General features: G+C 38.6%; 1 protein-coding gene and 1 pseudogene across 30 annotated transcripts in view, besides 2 other annotated features; one reads left to right on the plus strand and one right to left on the minus strand.

Annotated features, from left to right (window-relative positions):
* TNPO3 (transportin 3) overlaps positions 1 to 13,251 on the minus strand; it is a 102,009-nt gene that overhangs the window by 5,866 nt on the left and 82,892 nt on the right. For all 30 annotated transcript variants that reach the window (NR_167917.1, NR_167913.1, NR_167925.1 and 27 more), the window contains 3 exons: positions 12,376 to 12,532; positions 10,098 to 10,265; positions 7,230 to 7,342 (listed from right to left, as the gene is read on the minus strand). Coding sequence is in view for 12 of the 30 variants with exons in the window: in XM_047420091.1 (XP_047276047.1) it covers positions 7,230 to 7,342; positions 10,098 to 10,265; positions 12,376 to 12,532 (438 nt within the window). In the remaining 18 variants the exon portion in view is untranslated. The remainder of the gene's footprint in view (positions 1 to 7,229; positions 7,343 to 10,097; positions 10,266 to 12,375; positions 12,533 to 13,251) is intronic.
* Positions 2,984 to 3,093: an enhancer, noted in NCBI's record as "active region_26614". NCBI's record gives its function as "activates an Ori minimal core promoter by ATAC-STARR-seq in GM12878 lymphoblastoid cells {active_cell/tissue: GM12878}" and the evidence as "EXISTENCE:reporter gene assay evidence [ECO:0000049][PMID:35858748]".
* Positions 3,214 to 3,513: an enhancer, noted in NCBI's record as "active region_26615". NCBI's record gives its function as "activates an Ori minimal core promoter by ATAC-STARR-seq in GM12878 lymphoblastoid cells {active_cell/tissue: GM12878}" and the evidence as "EXISTENCE:reporter gene assay evidence [ECO:0000049][PMID:35858748]".
* On the plus strand, positions 10,684 to 10,979 carry RN7SL306P (RNA, 7SL, cytoplasmic 306, pseudogene; annotated as a pseudogene).

Consider the following 13,251-nt stretch of genomic DNA (forward strand, 5'->3'; position numbering starts at 1 on the left):
AACTATAGTTATGTGCTACAATGATGTTTTGGTCAATGATGGACTGCATGTATGACAGTGATCCTATGAGTATAATAGAGATGAACAACTGCATGTTGCGTTACTCACATGCTTGTGGTGATGCTGGTATAAACAAACCTACTGCACTGCCAGTCATATAAAAGGACAACACAAACAATTATCTACAGTATACAATAATTGATCATAAGCAACTATATTACTGGGTTATGTATTTACTATACTACACTTTTTATCATTAATTTAGAGTATATTCCTTCTACTTACAAAAAAAAAAAATTTACTGTAAAACAGCCTCAGGCAGGTCCTTCGGGAGGGATTCCAGAAGAAGACATTGTTATCCTAGGAGATGGCAACTCCATGTGTGTTACTGCCCTTGAAGACCTTCTAAGTGGGACAAGATGTAAAAAGGTGGAAGACAGTGATATTGATGATCTTGACCCTGTGTAGGTCTAGGCTAATATGTGTTTGTGTCTTAGCTTTTAACAAAAAAGTTTAAAAGCTAAAAAAAAAAAATAAAGTAATTTTAAGAATAGAAAAAAGCTTATAAAGATATAAAGAAAAAATTTTTTAATGAGCTGTACAATTTGTGTTTTAAGCTAGGTGTTATTACAAAGGAGTCCAAGAGTTAAAAAAAATTTAGTTTATAAAGTAAAAAAGTTACAGTAAGCAAGAGTTAATTTATTATTATTATTATTATTATTATTTTGAGACAGAGTCTCACTCTGTCGCCCAGGCTGGAGTGCGGTGGCACAATCTCGGCCCACTGCAACCTCTGTCTCCCAGGTTCAAGCGATTCTCCAGCCTCAGCCTCCTGAGTAGCTGGGATTACAAGTGCCCACCACCACGCCTGGCTAATTTTTTAAATTTTTAGTAGAGATGGGGTTTCACCATGTTGGCCAGGCTGGTCTCAAACTCCTGACCTCAAGTGATCTGCCTGCCTCGGCCTCCCAAAGTGCTGGGATTACAGGCATGAGCCACCGCGCCTGGCCAAGGGTTAATTTATTATTGATGAAAAAAATTTTTTTATAAATTTAGTGTAGCCTAAGTATACAGTATCTATAAAAAGTCTACAGTAGTATACGGTAATGTCCTAGGCCGCCTATTCACTCACCACTCACTCACTGACTCACCTAGAACAACTTCCAGTTCTGCAAGTTCCATTCATGGTAAGTGCCCTCATACAGGTATACCTTTTTTTTTCTCTTTTATACTGTATTTTTACTGTACCTTTTCTATGTTTAGATATGTTTGGATATACAAATTCTTACCATTGTGTTACAATTGCCTACAGTATTCAGTACAGTAACCTGCTATACAGGTTTGTAGCCTAGGAGCAATAGGCTACACTATATAGACCAGGTGTCCGGTAGGCTATACCATCTAGGTTTGTAGAAGTATACTCCATGACGTTTGCACAACAACTAAACCACCTAATGACACATTTCTTGGAACATATCCCCATCATTAAGTAACACATGACTGTATTTTCTGTCTCGGTCCTTCTGACGTTTGATATTTCTTAGCTTTCTATTTATTTACTTTTTTAACTGCCAGTATTTTTTAGATTCTGTTTTCTGGCTTCTAGTCCCCAAATTCCTATCCTTCCACCATATTTCTGAAAGCTTTTATGGTCACTATTTCTCGAGCCCCATAAGATTACTAGAGGAGTGCTGAGAAATGAGATCCTTTTGATCCGATGACCTGGTAGGTAACAGAAAATAATGAAACTCTGATGACTTGACTAGGGATTCAACCCCTTACTGGCCTCTAATTCCAGTATCAATGCTTCCCATGTTCAACACCTTTTGGCTTTGAAGAGCCCCAGGCAAGTGACAAGTAGTCATAGAATAAACACCAAGATGGAGAAATGGAAATGATGGCAGGGTTTCTTCTAGTCCCAATTGGTCTTAGTTAATGATAGGTTCATCTGGCATTTGGAAAGCAAGAATGTTATTTTAGACTGAAACGTCCCAGCTTTCTTCAAGTTGACCAACTAAAAAAGCTAGGGAATTGGCCAGGCGCGGTGGCTCACACCTGTAATCCCAGCACTTTGGGAGGCCGAGGCGGATGGATCATGAGGTCAGGAGATCGAGACCATCCTGGCTAACAAGGTGAAACCCCGTCTCTACTAAAAATACAAAAAATTAGCCGGGCGCGGTGGCGGGTGCCTGTAGTCCCAGCTACTCGGGAGGCTGAGGCAGGAGAATGGCGTGAACCCGGGAAGTGGAGCTTGCAGTGAGCCGAGATTGCGCCACTGCAGTCCGCAGTCCGGCCTGGGCGACAGAGCGAGACTCCGTCTCAAAAAAAAAAAAAAAAAAAAGCTAGGGAATTAATTACCAGTACCATGTGAAAAGCAGGCTTGGACTTGCTGAAATGAAACTAAACCAGTTCACCCTCTCTGCCAGAATGGCAAACAAAGTAGCATGTTGAGGCAGGTGTTACGGACCTTAAAATCAAAAGGGAGACTGAGTCATGCATGGGACAGAAAGTTCAAGGGCTTTCTGTCTTGTCTACTACAGGCATTCTAGAGGAAGAGAATTACTAAGAGGGGATGAGCAATCTCAAGTCCTTTCTCTAGCACCTCTACATTAGCTCTTACTTCTGTTCATTTCCCACCACTATGTTACATATGTTACAGCCTGCTATAGGAAGAGCTGCAAAACTTGTTTAGCAATGGAAGATCAAGTAGGTCAGGTTGGTGGTGCACCTTATTTTCCCATATCACAGGACAAAGATAACAGGTTTTTTTTTTCCCCCACAGCACTGCTTTACTTAGGTCTCTTTTCCTTGCCCCAAGATTTATCCTAAATTAGGAAAGGATATCTATGACCTTGATTTCAGACTTACCATATTATTTTATCTGTCATATATTAGTCCCACTGAGGGAAAGAGGGCTTGACAAAGACTTATTCTACAATGTGTGGGATTCCAGAATGTGTGGGTGGCTGCCTTAGAGTCAACAGGAGACATGCCCCAGCTAGTTTTGCAAGTACATAATGACATTCTAGAAGTTTCTCCTCCAAGGAGAAAGGAGTTAACATTCACTGATCACATACTATGTGCAAGATCTTCTTTAGATTTCCATTTGGTATCTCATAATAACCTTATGAGACTGGTAGTACTAACCCTATTTCACTTGATAAATAAACTGAAGTTCAAAGTAATAGGGTATGTGGCAAGATTCAAACCAACATACTTGACTCCAAACCCCATCTTTGGAGGGTTTCCCCTAGGTTCCCATTTGCTTTAGGAAAATTAGAGCCAATACGATCCTGCCCTTATACTGTAACCAGCACTGAATGGAATAATGCAAAACAGAAGCAGAGAGAAGCAACTACTACACTTCTTTCCCCTGAAACAGCTTGTAGACAGAATACTACTTCTACTGAGAAGATTCATAGTAAAAGCAATCAAAGAATTTTTAAGGTCACCCCAGTCAATATATGCCTACCCAGTGGAGGGGAAATCCCCACTTCTGGCAAAATGTGTCATGAAGGGTCACATGCTATTTTTCAGTCATGCATGTCACTTGATCTATGGCTAAAAGTGAGTTATTTCTGGGGCATACTGGGCTTACTACTTAAGCCACTTAGTGAACTATAAAATAATAGCATTCCATGGTTTGGGATTTTAACATTAACAAAATTGCTGGAGACATTCCAGAAGATGAGAAAGTAAACTATTTTGGAAAGTGACATTAAGAAATCAATTCTGAGAAAAGACAACTAGCTCTTGTACCACTGCTTAAAGTTCATTTTCTTTCCCTTCTATATCTGATTTTACCCATAAAAGTGTAATTTATGCTCATAAAAAAGTGCACATAGTGCAGAAAGTTATGAAACGAAAAGAAAAGCCTCCCTTCCCCTCCTAGTCTCACTTATATATCTTTCTGAAAACTTACTGTGCAGAAAGTAGCCTCTGTGTATGTGTATAATTTATAATAAAACAGCTCTTTAAAGTACAAGTTGGTTCGTTTACAATAGCATAAAAAAAACTTATGAAAAAATTTAACCAAGGAGGTGAAAAACTTATACACTGAAAACTACAAAATGTAGCTGAAAGAAATTAAAGACACCAATAAATGGAACAATATACTGTATTTGTCGATTTGGAGATTTAATATTGTTAAGATTTCAATACTACTCAAAGCAATCTATAGATTCAATACAATCCCCATCAAAATCCCAACAACCTCTTGTACAGAAAAATCTACCCTAAAATTCATATGGAATTTCAAGGGTCCCCAAGTGGCCAAAACAATCTTTTTTTTTTTTTTTTTTTTGAGACGGAGCCTCGCTCTGTCGCCCAGGCTGGAGTGCAGTGGTGCAATCTCGGCTCACTGCAAGCTCCACCTCCCGGGTTCACGCCATTCTCCTGCCTCAGCCTCCAGAGTAGCTGGGACTACAGGTGCCCACCACCACGCCCGGCTAATTTTTTGTGTCTTTAGTAGAGATGGGGTTTCACTGTTTTAGCCAGGATGGTCTCAATCTCCTGACCTCGTGATCTGCCTGCCTCGGCCTCCCAAAGTGCTGGGATTACAGGCGTGAGCCACCGCGCCTGGCCACCAAAACAATCTTTAAAGTGAACATTGCAGGCCTCATATTCCTGATTCTAAAATTTATTACAAAGCCACAGTAATCAAAACAGCATGGTATTGACATAAAGAAATACATCATAGACCAATGGAATAGAACAGGGAGCCCATTAATAAATTCTCCTGTATATGGTCAAATGATTTTCAACAAGGATGTCAAGACCATTCAGTGCAGAAAGGACAGTCTTTTCAACAAATGGTGCTGGGAAAACTGGATATCCACAAGCAAAAGAAAGAGGCTGGACCCTTACCTAATACCACATACAAAAATTAACTCAAAAAGGATCAAAGACCTGATATAAGACCTAAAACTGTAAAACTCTTACAAGAAAACCTAGGCGGAAAACTTCATGACATGAAATCTGGCAATGATTTCCTAGATATGACACCAAACAGACAACAAAAGCAAAACAGATAAACTAGGCGACAACAAAATTAAAAACTTCTGTGCATCAAGGGACACAATCAACAGAATGAAAAGGCAACCTAAAGAATGGAGGAAAATGTTTGCAAATCATGTACCTGATAAGGAATTAATATCCCAAATATAAAAGGAACTCCTGCAACTATACAACAAAAGAAACCCAATTTTTAAATAGGCAAAGCACTTGAATAGACATTTCTCCAAGAAGACAAAACAAATGGCCAATAAGCATATGAAAAGATGCTCAACATCACTAATCATTAGGGAAATGCAAATGAAAACGGCAATGAGATATCACTTCACACTTGGTGTGAAATGCTAAGATGGCTACTCTCAAAAACCCAGAAAATAACAAGTGTTGGTGAGGATGTGGAGAAATTGGAACTTTGTGCACTGCTAGTGGGAATGTAAAATGGTGCAGCTGCTATGGAAAACAGTATGATGGTTCTTAAAAAAATTAAAGAAGATTAAATAGAATCACCATATGATCCAGCAATTCTACCTCTGGGTATCCAAAAGAATTGAAAGCAGGGGCTGAAAGAGATATTTGTACACCTGTGTTTATAGCAGCCTTACTCACAACAGCAGCCCAAATGGCCATCAACAGATGAAAGGATAAATAAAATGTGGTATATGCATACAATGGACTATTATTTAGCCTTTAAATGGAAGAAAATTCTGGCACACGCTACAACATAGATGAATCCTAAGGACATTATACTAAGTGAGGTAAGCTAATCACAAAAAGACAAATCTGTATGATCTCACTTATATGAGGTATCTAGAGTAGTCAGACTCAAACATTAAGTACGAAGTTAATTGCCAGGAGATGGGGAGAGGGGAGAATGGAGAATTGTTGCTTAATGGGTATAGTTTTAGTTTTACAAGATGAAAAAGTTCTTGAGATTGGTTGTGCAACAACATGAATATATACTTAACCCTACTGAACTATGCATTTATAAAAATGGTTAATACTGTAAATTTCATGTTATGTGTATTTTTATAACAGTTAAAAAATTTTCAAATTATTTTAAAAGCTCAAGTTAGGTTATGTAATACTGTTATTTTAACCTTTACAATTTATCTTGTATATTTTTCCGTATTATCACATATTTCTTCTTCCTTGTTCATCTTTGGGACTATTTACTAGTATAAGCTTCTGTTAATTATTTAACTTTTCTCTATTGATGGGCAATTAGAATATTTCCAGTTTTTTCACTACTACTAACCTTGCTATAACATTCCTTCTTTGACCCATATATCTTTCCACACTGTATGATTATAAGTCATTGTCTAAAATTTAGACAAAACTCTAAAGACTCTAGATACAAAAAGACTATCAGGGCAAAGGAACACTTAGCTATAAAATCCAACTTAAGTTGCTGTCATTACCATTAAGACCATAAGTCTCATAACCTTTGATTCGGTGATTACATTTTAAAGGAAAATATTCAGTAGAAGGAAAAGGCTCTATTTTTGACATTATCTGTAATACTAAAAAACTGAAAAATGATCTAAATGTCTACTAATAGAGGCATTATAAGGAAATCAAGTAACACCTTTATGGCTATAAAACAATAATTAGGAAGACTATGTAACTGTATTAAAAATATTTATATGTTCACAGTAAAAAAAACACACACACTTTACATTTTAGGCTGTAATCCAGAGATTGTAAGTTCCTCATGGGCCTAATGTATCCCAGGCAGATGTTCTGTTTGGACTACACAACTTCTTTGAAATTAGAATTTGACTATCTTTAGGCATGGTGAACATTCTCCAATTCACTGTCATCTACATCACTTTCTGATGTTTTATAACCAATGCTTTGCCTTACTCAGGTACCTACATTCCTGACCCCCGAATGTGGATGAAAACTCAGAAGGACTTAGAAAAATATAGACAGATCTCCTGACGGGGAGTGAGCTGCTCAGTGCATTTTCCTTTGGGAGAAACAGTGCCTCCACTTACCGTTAAAAAATCTTATACCAGTTATCACATATGTTAAATATATGTACATACATACACAGCATGGTGAATGTTTTCCCACCAGATTGGCTTCCAATGCCAATTTGTGCAATTCAAGGTTAAACAAACTATAAATTGTCCATTTCCCAAGGGCACATAAGAAATAAAGATATGTTTCTTCCCACATCCCACACCTCCTTAAGAACCCCCAGTATCACTCACCTAGTGACTTGCTTGTGGAAGTCTGTAAGTTGTTTGTGTGTCACTGTGACGGCTCCCACGGTTGTTTCCTTTGGCAAACCTTTTAAGGAATTTTCTAACCATCGACAAAAAGTCTGTATAGGAAAGAGGGGTAAGAGTTTTAAAAGGAAGCATAGCTTACTCACCTGAGACCCTACAGATACTAACAAAACCCCACAAATTTTCCTTAGTAGCATTTACTTCCCTACACTTGGGAGCAAGTAAAGGAATCAACAAAAGTGCTCTCATTAGCCCTTCAAACCCTCTGGGTTGATGCAGTCTGCATATGCATGCCTAGACTTCCCTTCAAAGGGGCAGCGGGCATCATTTCAGAAAACGACTTTCTACACCTTAGAAGTGAAGTTTCTTCGGGATGAGGCTATTGTTTTGTTCCTGTCATAACGTATATGACATATATACATATGCACACATGCGAACATGAACACACACACACACACACACACACACTCGCTCTCTCTTTTTTGAGATAGGGTCTCACTCTGTTGCCCAGGCTGGCGTGCAGTGCACTGCAGCTTTGACCTTCCAGCCTCAAGTGATCCTCCCACCTCAGCTTCCCAGGTAGCTCAGACTACAGAAGTCCATCAACATGCCTGGCTAATTAAAAACAATTTTTTTTTTTAAGAGATGAGGAGTCTTTCTATGTTGCCCAGACTGGTCTCAAACTCCTGGGCTCAAGAGATCCTCCCAAAGTGCTGGAACTACAGGTGTAAGCACTTGACCAGTATATTTTTAAAATTAAACAGATTTCCAAAAACTCTTGAGCTTAAAGATCAAAAGTGATCCAGAGTAAAGGTTCAGATACCTGAAAGAGCAGGGGCAAAAAGTATACTAAGCCACCATGTCAGAAAGTATACATATGAGACATATGAGTCCAGAATCTTAAGGATTTTAAGGCCATCTCTCTCAGAATAAGTCCTATCCATTCAGTTCCTTTGTGATATCTGCCTGTTCTTTGTGTTAAAAAACCTTGCTCTTGTTGCTGTTTAATTTACTTATATATTTTTTATATAAGTATATCTAAGAATTCTCTTTATGCCTTTTCTATGCACAAAAATTGTCTACTCCCTTTACTTCCTTCCTTTCTAAAATAAAAATTCTACAGACTTCCTCTGGGTTCTTATTTTCAGTTTAATTGTTGTCCTTTGGGTCAGCACTAATATTTCTTCATCCCTTTCTTAAGTGGAATGTATACTTCAGTCATAGTTTTGGGCTGTAAAATTACTCTTTTATACCTAATTTTTTTTACATTATATATTTTCCCATCATATTCATTTATGGCCATAATAGGCCAGAGCAAAAGTATTATAAATGCTCATGAAGTACTAAGCATTTCTTAATTATGGATACATAACAGCTCCTTAATTCTTAAAAATACATAATAGTTGTTATATAGCAAACTTTTTCTTTTTTGAGACAGGGTCTTGCTATGCAGCTCAGACTGGAGTGCAGTGGCATGATCATAGCTCACTGCAGGCTGGAACTCCTGGGCTTAAGCAATCCTCCTACCTCACCCTCCTGAGTAGCTGGGACTATAGATGTATGCCACCACACCCAGCTAATTAAAAAGAAAAAAAATTTTTTTTTTTTTTGTAGGGATGGGGTCTATGTTGCCCAGGCTGGTAGTCTCAAGCTCCTGGCGTCAAGTGATCCTCCTGCCTTGGTCTCCCAAAGTATTGGGAAGACAGGCATGAGCCATTGTGTCTGGCTGATATACAGTACACTCCTTAGAGTACATGGCTACCTGGTTTCTATTCCTGTCCAAACTTCTTGTTCTCATTTTTTGTTGTTGTTGTTCGCACTTAACAATATGCTTACAATCAAGAATGTTTTCATAAAGTTAGATTTACATAAGTTTTCTGTTACTTGGGAACCAAATGTATTTGTAAAAAAGTTTAAGCAGAGTATGAAGACTTTTTCCCTCAGGTCAAGGACTTTTGAATTAAATTTGCTGATTCCTGGAGGCTCAAAAAGTACTTTTCTTTAGAAAAACAAATATGCTACTCTATCAGGTTGAAATGGAACATGTGTATTGAACCAGAGAGGAATAGGTACTATCTGTTATATATTATTATTATCAATTTTATATTCTGTGGTTCTGTAAGACAGCTCACTTTAACTAGGTCCCAATGAGTACTTTCCTGAACTGCTTTTACAGTAATATTAAAAATTATAAATTCCATTTTAAAAATGATTTCAGGTTATATTATACTTTACCATTCTACTCAACTTTCACACAGTACACATAACCTGAGTTATGGTCATGTGGCCCAGTACTGAAATTACTTGGGCATTATTAGATAGCTTTAAAAAAACAACTCCATCCTTAGGTGGGTGATAAAGGATCTGGTTCAAAGAAATCCAAAGGGGAAATATATCCAACTGTACATTGTGGGTTACTTTGACAATTATGTGCTTCCAAATGTTCTGGCTAGATGTATCACCAAGAAATAATACAGTGCTATAGAATAAGTCTGAAAGGATTAAATACTTCTTGAGTAATACGTAACTAATATAACTGACATTTGGGCATCTCTCACAAGTGAACAAATTTCACATTGGACAGCCACACAACTGAATTCAATGCTTGATACTTACTTCTGGTAATATACCCCCTATGACAGTGACATAGAAACATGCTTTAAAGAACTCAATAATAAATTACTGATCTTTACGGGCCTCTTCATCTACCAATCTAATTTGGCAATATGCCTAAATTTGGTTCCATGGACAGAAAACAGGGCTAGTTTCAAAATTAGGGTTGGCCTTAAGGAACCAAAGCCTATTACATTTAGGGACTATGAGATAAATTCCTCATGAAAACAATCTTACCGGTCTGTCAACCTGCATGATCTCCCAGAGCACTTCAGCCACATCTGGTAGGGTATAGGGGGGGAGGCAAAAGCAGCAGGTGTGCAGCAGCTGGCTGACAAGCTGCTGTCCAAGCTGGTTCATCACCTGTCCAATCAGTTCTTTCCGTAATTCAAAGTCTTCTTCATGCTGTATGTAGGAAAGCAGGAACATCAGATAAATTCTAGTCTCAACTTCCCAAAGACCAAGCACTCTTTCCCCTTTAGTAATTTCTCTTTAATAGGAAAGTGTGTGTGTGTGTGCACGCGTGGCTGTGTGTGTGTGTATGCAGGTGTGTGTAAAATGACAGCTGGATTCACAAAGTCCAGAAGTTTTTTGTCTTTAGAAAGAAAATGAAGGAGTTTATTAGTATCCAAGGAATGAACATGGGTTTCAACAGAGATTAATGCTTAGATTTTTCATGATTTGAAGGCAGAAAACATGGTTAAGAATTAAAGTTAGCAATTTTTAAAATTTTTTTCTCTTCATCTTCTATGTGATGGTATTAATTTTTTTTTAATGTGAAAAATAACTTGTGTTCCTATTTCCTTTTTTAAAAACTAAGTCAGCCTGGCATGGCAGCACACACCATAGTCCCAGCCACTCCAAAGGCGCAGGTAGGGGAACAGCTTGAACCCAGTGTTCTGGGCTAGAGCATGCTATACCAATTGGGTGCCTGTACTAAGTTCAGCATCAATGTGGTGACCTCCCAGGAGTGAGGAACCACTCCTGGGTTGCCTAAGGAGGGAGGGGTGAACAGCCCAAGTCAGAAACAGAGTGGGTCAAAATTCCATTCTGATCTGTAGTGGGATCTCGCCTGTGAATGGCCACTACAGTCTGTCTGGGTAACACAGCCGGAACCCCAAGTCACAACAAAACAAAACAAAACAAAACCAACTGAAATTAGAATTGAAGACGTCTATCAGAGATCTAATTTTTTCTATCGAAAAAAAAAAAACCCTTTTTTTCTTCTTGCGGTCTTTAATTTTTTTTTTTCTGAGACAGCGTCTTGCTCTGTCACCCAGGCTGGAGTGCAGTGGCCTGATCTTAGCTAACTGAAACCTCCATCCCCTGGGTTCAAGCAATTCTCCTGCCTCAGCCTCCCTAGAAACTGGGATTACAGGCATACACTACCACACTTGGCTAATTTTTGTATTTTTAGTAGAGACAGGGTTTCACCATGTTGGCCAGGCTGGTCTTGAACTCCTGACCTCAAGTGATCTGCACGCCTTGGCCTCCCAAAGTGCTGGGATTACAGGCGTGAGCCACTGCGCCTGGCCCTTCTTGTGGTCTTTAAATACACATGTATTTCTAATACCTTGAGAAAAATATTTTTTAAATTGCCTTTCCCTTCTAGTTATTTTCTTCTCTCTTTTACTGCCAAACTTCTTAAATGAATAGCCTAAATAGAATGCAGAATACTTACTTCTTCACTGCTCTCCCCTGTCTACAATTCTACTCCACATCTAATCAAACCTACCTTCGAAATTCCTGTGAAGCACTTTACTACTCCCACTGCTTAGTTGTCTACTAACAAACTTAGTACTATTCTGACTTGCTCTGATCTTGGCTTAGAGGCAGTATGACTATCTGCCTCTCTAATCCATCAAAATTCTACCTCTAATTCATGGCTTCATTTAAATCCCTCCCCTTCCATAAAGTTATTCCAACTCTTTTTGGTCTAGAGCTTTCCCTCGTCTGATCTCATACCAATCATGACTTTTATCACTCATCTGACAATCAAATACTGGAGGCCAAGGTGGGAGGATCACTTGAGGCCAGGAGTTCAAGACCAACCTGGGCAACATGGTGAAATGCCATCTCTACAAAAAATATAAAAACTAGCCAGGCATGGTGTTGAATGTCTGTAGTCCTGGCTACTCAGTAGCTGAGGATCCCTTGAGATTCACATCACTGTACTCCAGCCTAGGCGACAGAGCAAGACCCTGTTTCAAAAACAAATGAAAAACACCAAACACTGGCATCTTGTTGTTACTTAACTCTTTAAACTTGTTTCTCTCTTCAACTAGACACCAAATGATTTGGGAGCATGAACAGTTTTAGACTGCTTTATATAGCCTAAAGCACCCAGCACAAGTGTCTTAGTTGATATTTTGGCTAGTGAATGATCCACTATGATATATGTCTACCAATATAGATCAAGTAAGGAAATACTGGGATGCTGGTTTTCTCCTAAGGAATGACAAAGAGATAGGAGATAAAAGCTGTTAAGTAGAAATGGTATCATTTTTATACTTACATCATTGGCTACCCCTGTATGAATGAGGTCTCGTAGAAACCTCATGACACTACAATTGGCATCCCGGTGGTCCAGGGTAGTAGAGGCAATGGCCCACTGTAAGATAGGGATGACCACTTGGCTCCGCAGCAAGGTGACAGGGCTACGCTGAATAAACCTGGTGTGGAAAGTGAGACTAGGTATAAATGACAAGATTAGGCTATAAAAGCAGCCAGGGTAAAAGGGCAAAACTATGAAGACAGTAAAAAAGATCAGTGGTTGGTGGGGGGTTTCAGGGAAGAAGGGATGAATAGACAGAACATAGAGGATTTTTTTTGGCAGTGAAAGTATTCTGTATGATACTATAACAGTGGATACATGTCATTACACATTTGTCAAAACCCACAGAATGTACACCAAGAGTGAAGCCTAATGTAAACTATGGACTTTGGGTGATAATGATGTGTTCATATAGGGTCACTGTTTGTATTACTCTGGTGGGGGATGCTAATAGAGGGGAAGGCTGTGTGTGTTAGGAGGGAGGGGTATATGGGAGCAACTTTTCACTCAAATTTGCAGTGAACCTAAAGTTGCTCTTTAAAAAAAAAGGACCATATCTTAAGATTAGTATATTAAAAGACGTGTCACCACATCCTATTTCCAACTAAGATTTTATAAATCAAGAAAGACCAGTCAAAAGGACCTACAAGTAGAAACTCTCCTAGGTTAAAAAGTCCTAAAGATGCTAGAACAGCATTTCCCAAACTAAAGTTCACAGAATTCCAGTTCCCAGGATGTCAACAGGAATCCCTCAAAGAAAAGGTTGTGTGTTCAGGTAAGCTTGGGAAATGCTGCTGGATTTTGAAAGTAGTTTTGCTTGTTTATTTTTTCCTTTAA

This window comes from Homo sapiens, chromosome 7 (genome assembly GCF_000001405.40).
Source record: "Homo sapiens chromosome 7, GRCh38.p14 Primary Assembly".
Lineage (NCBI taxonomy): Eukaryota > Metazoa > Chordata > Mammalia > Primates > Hominidae > Homo > Homo sapiens.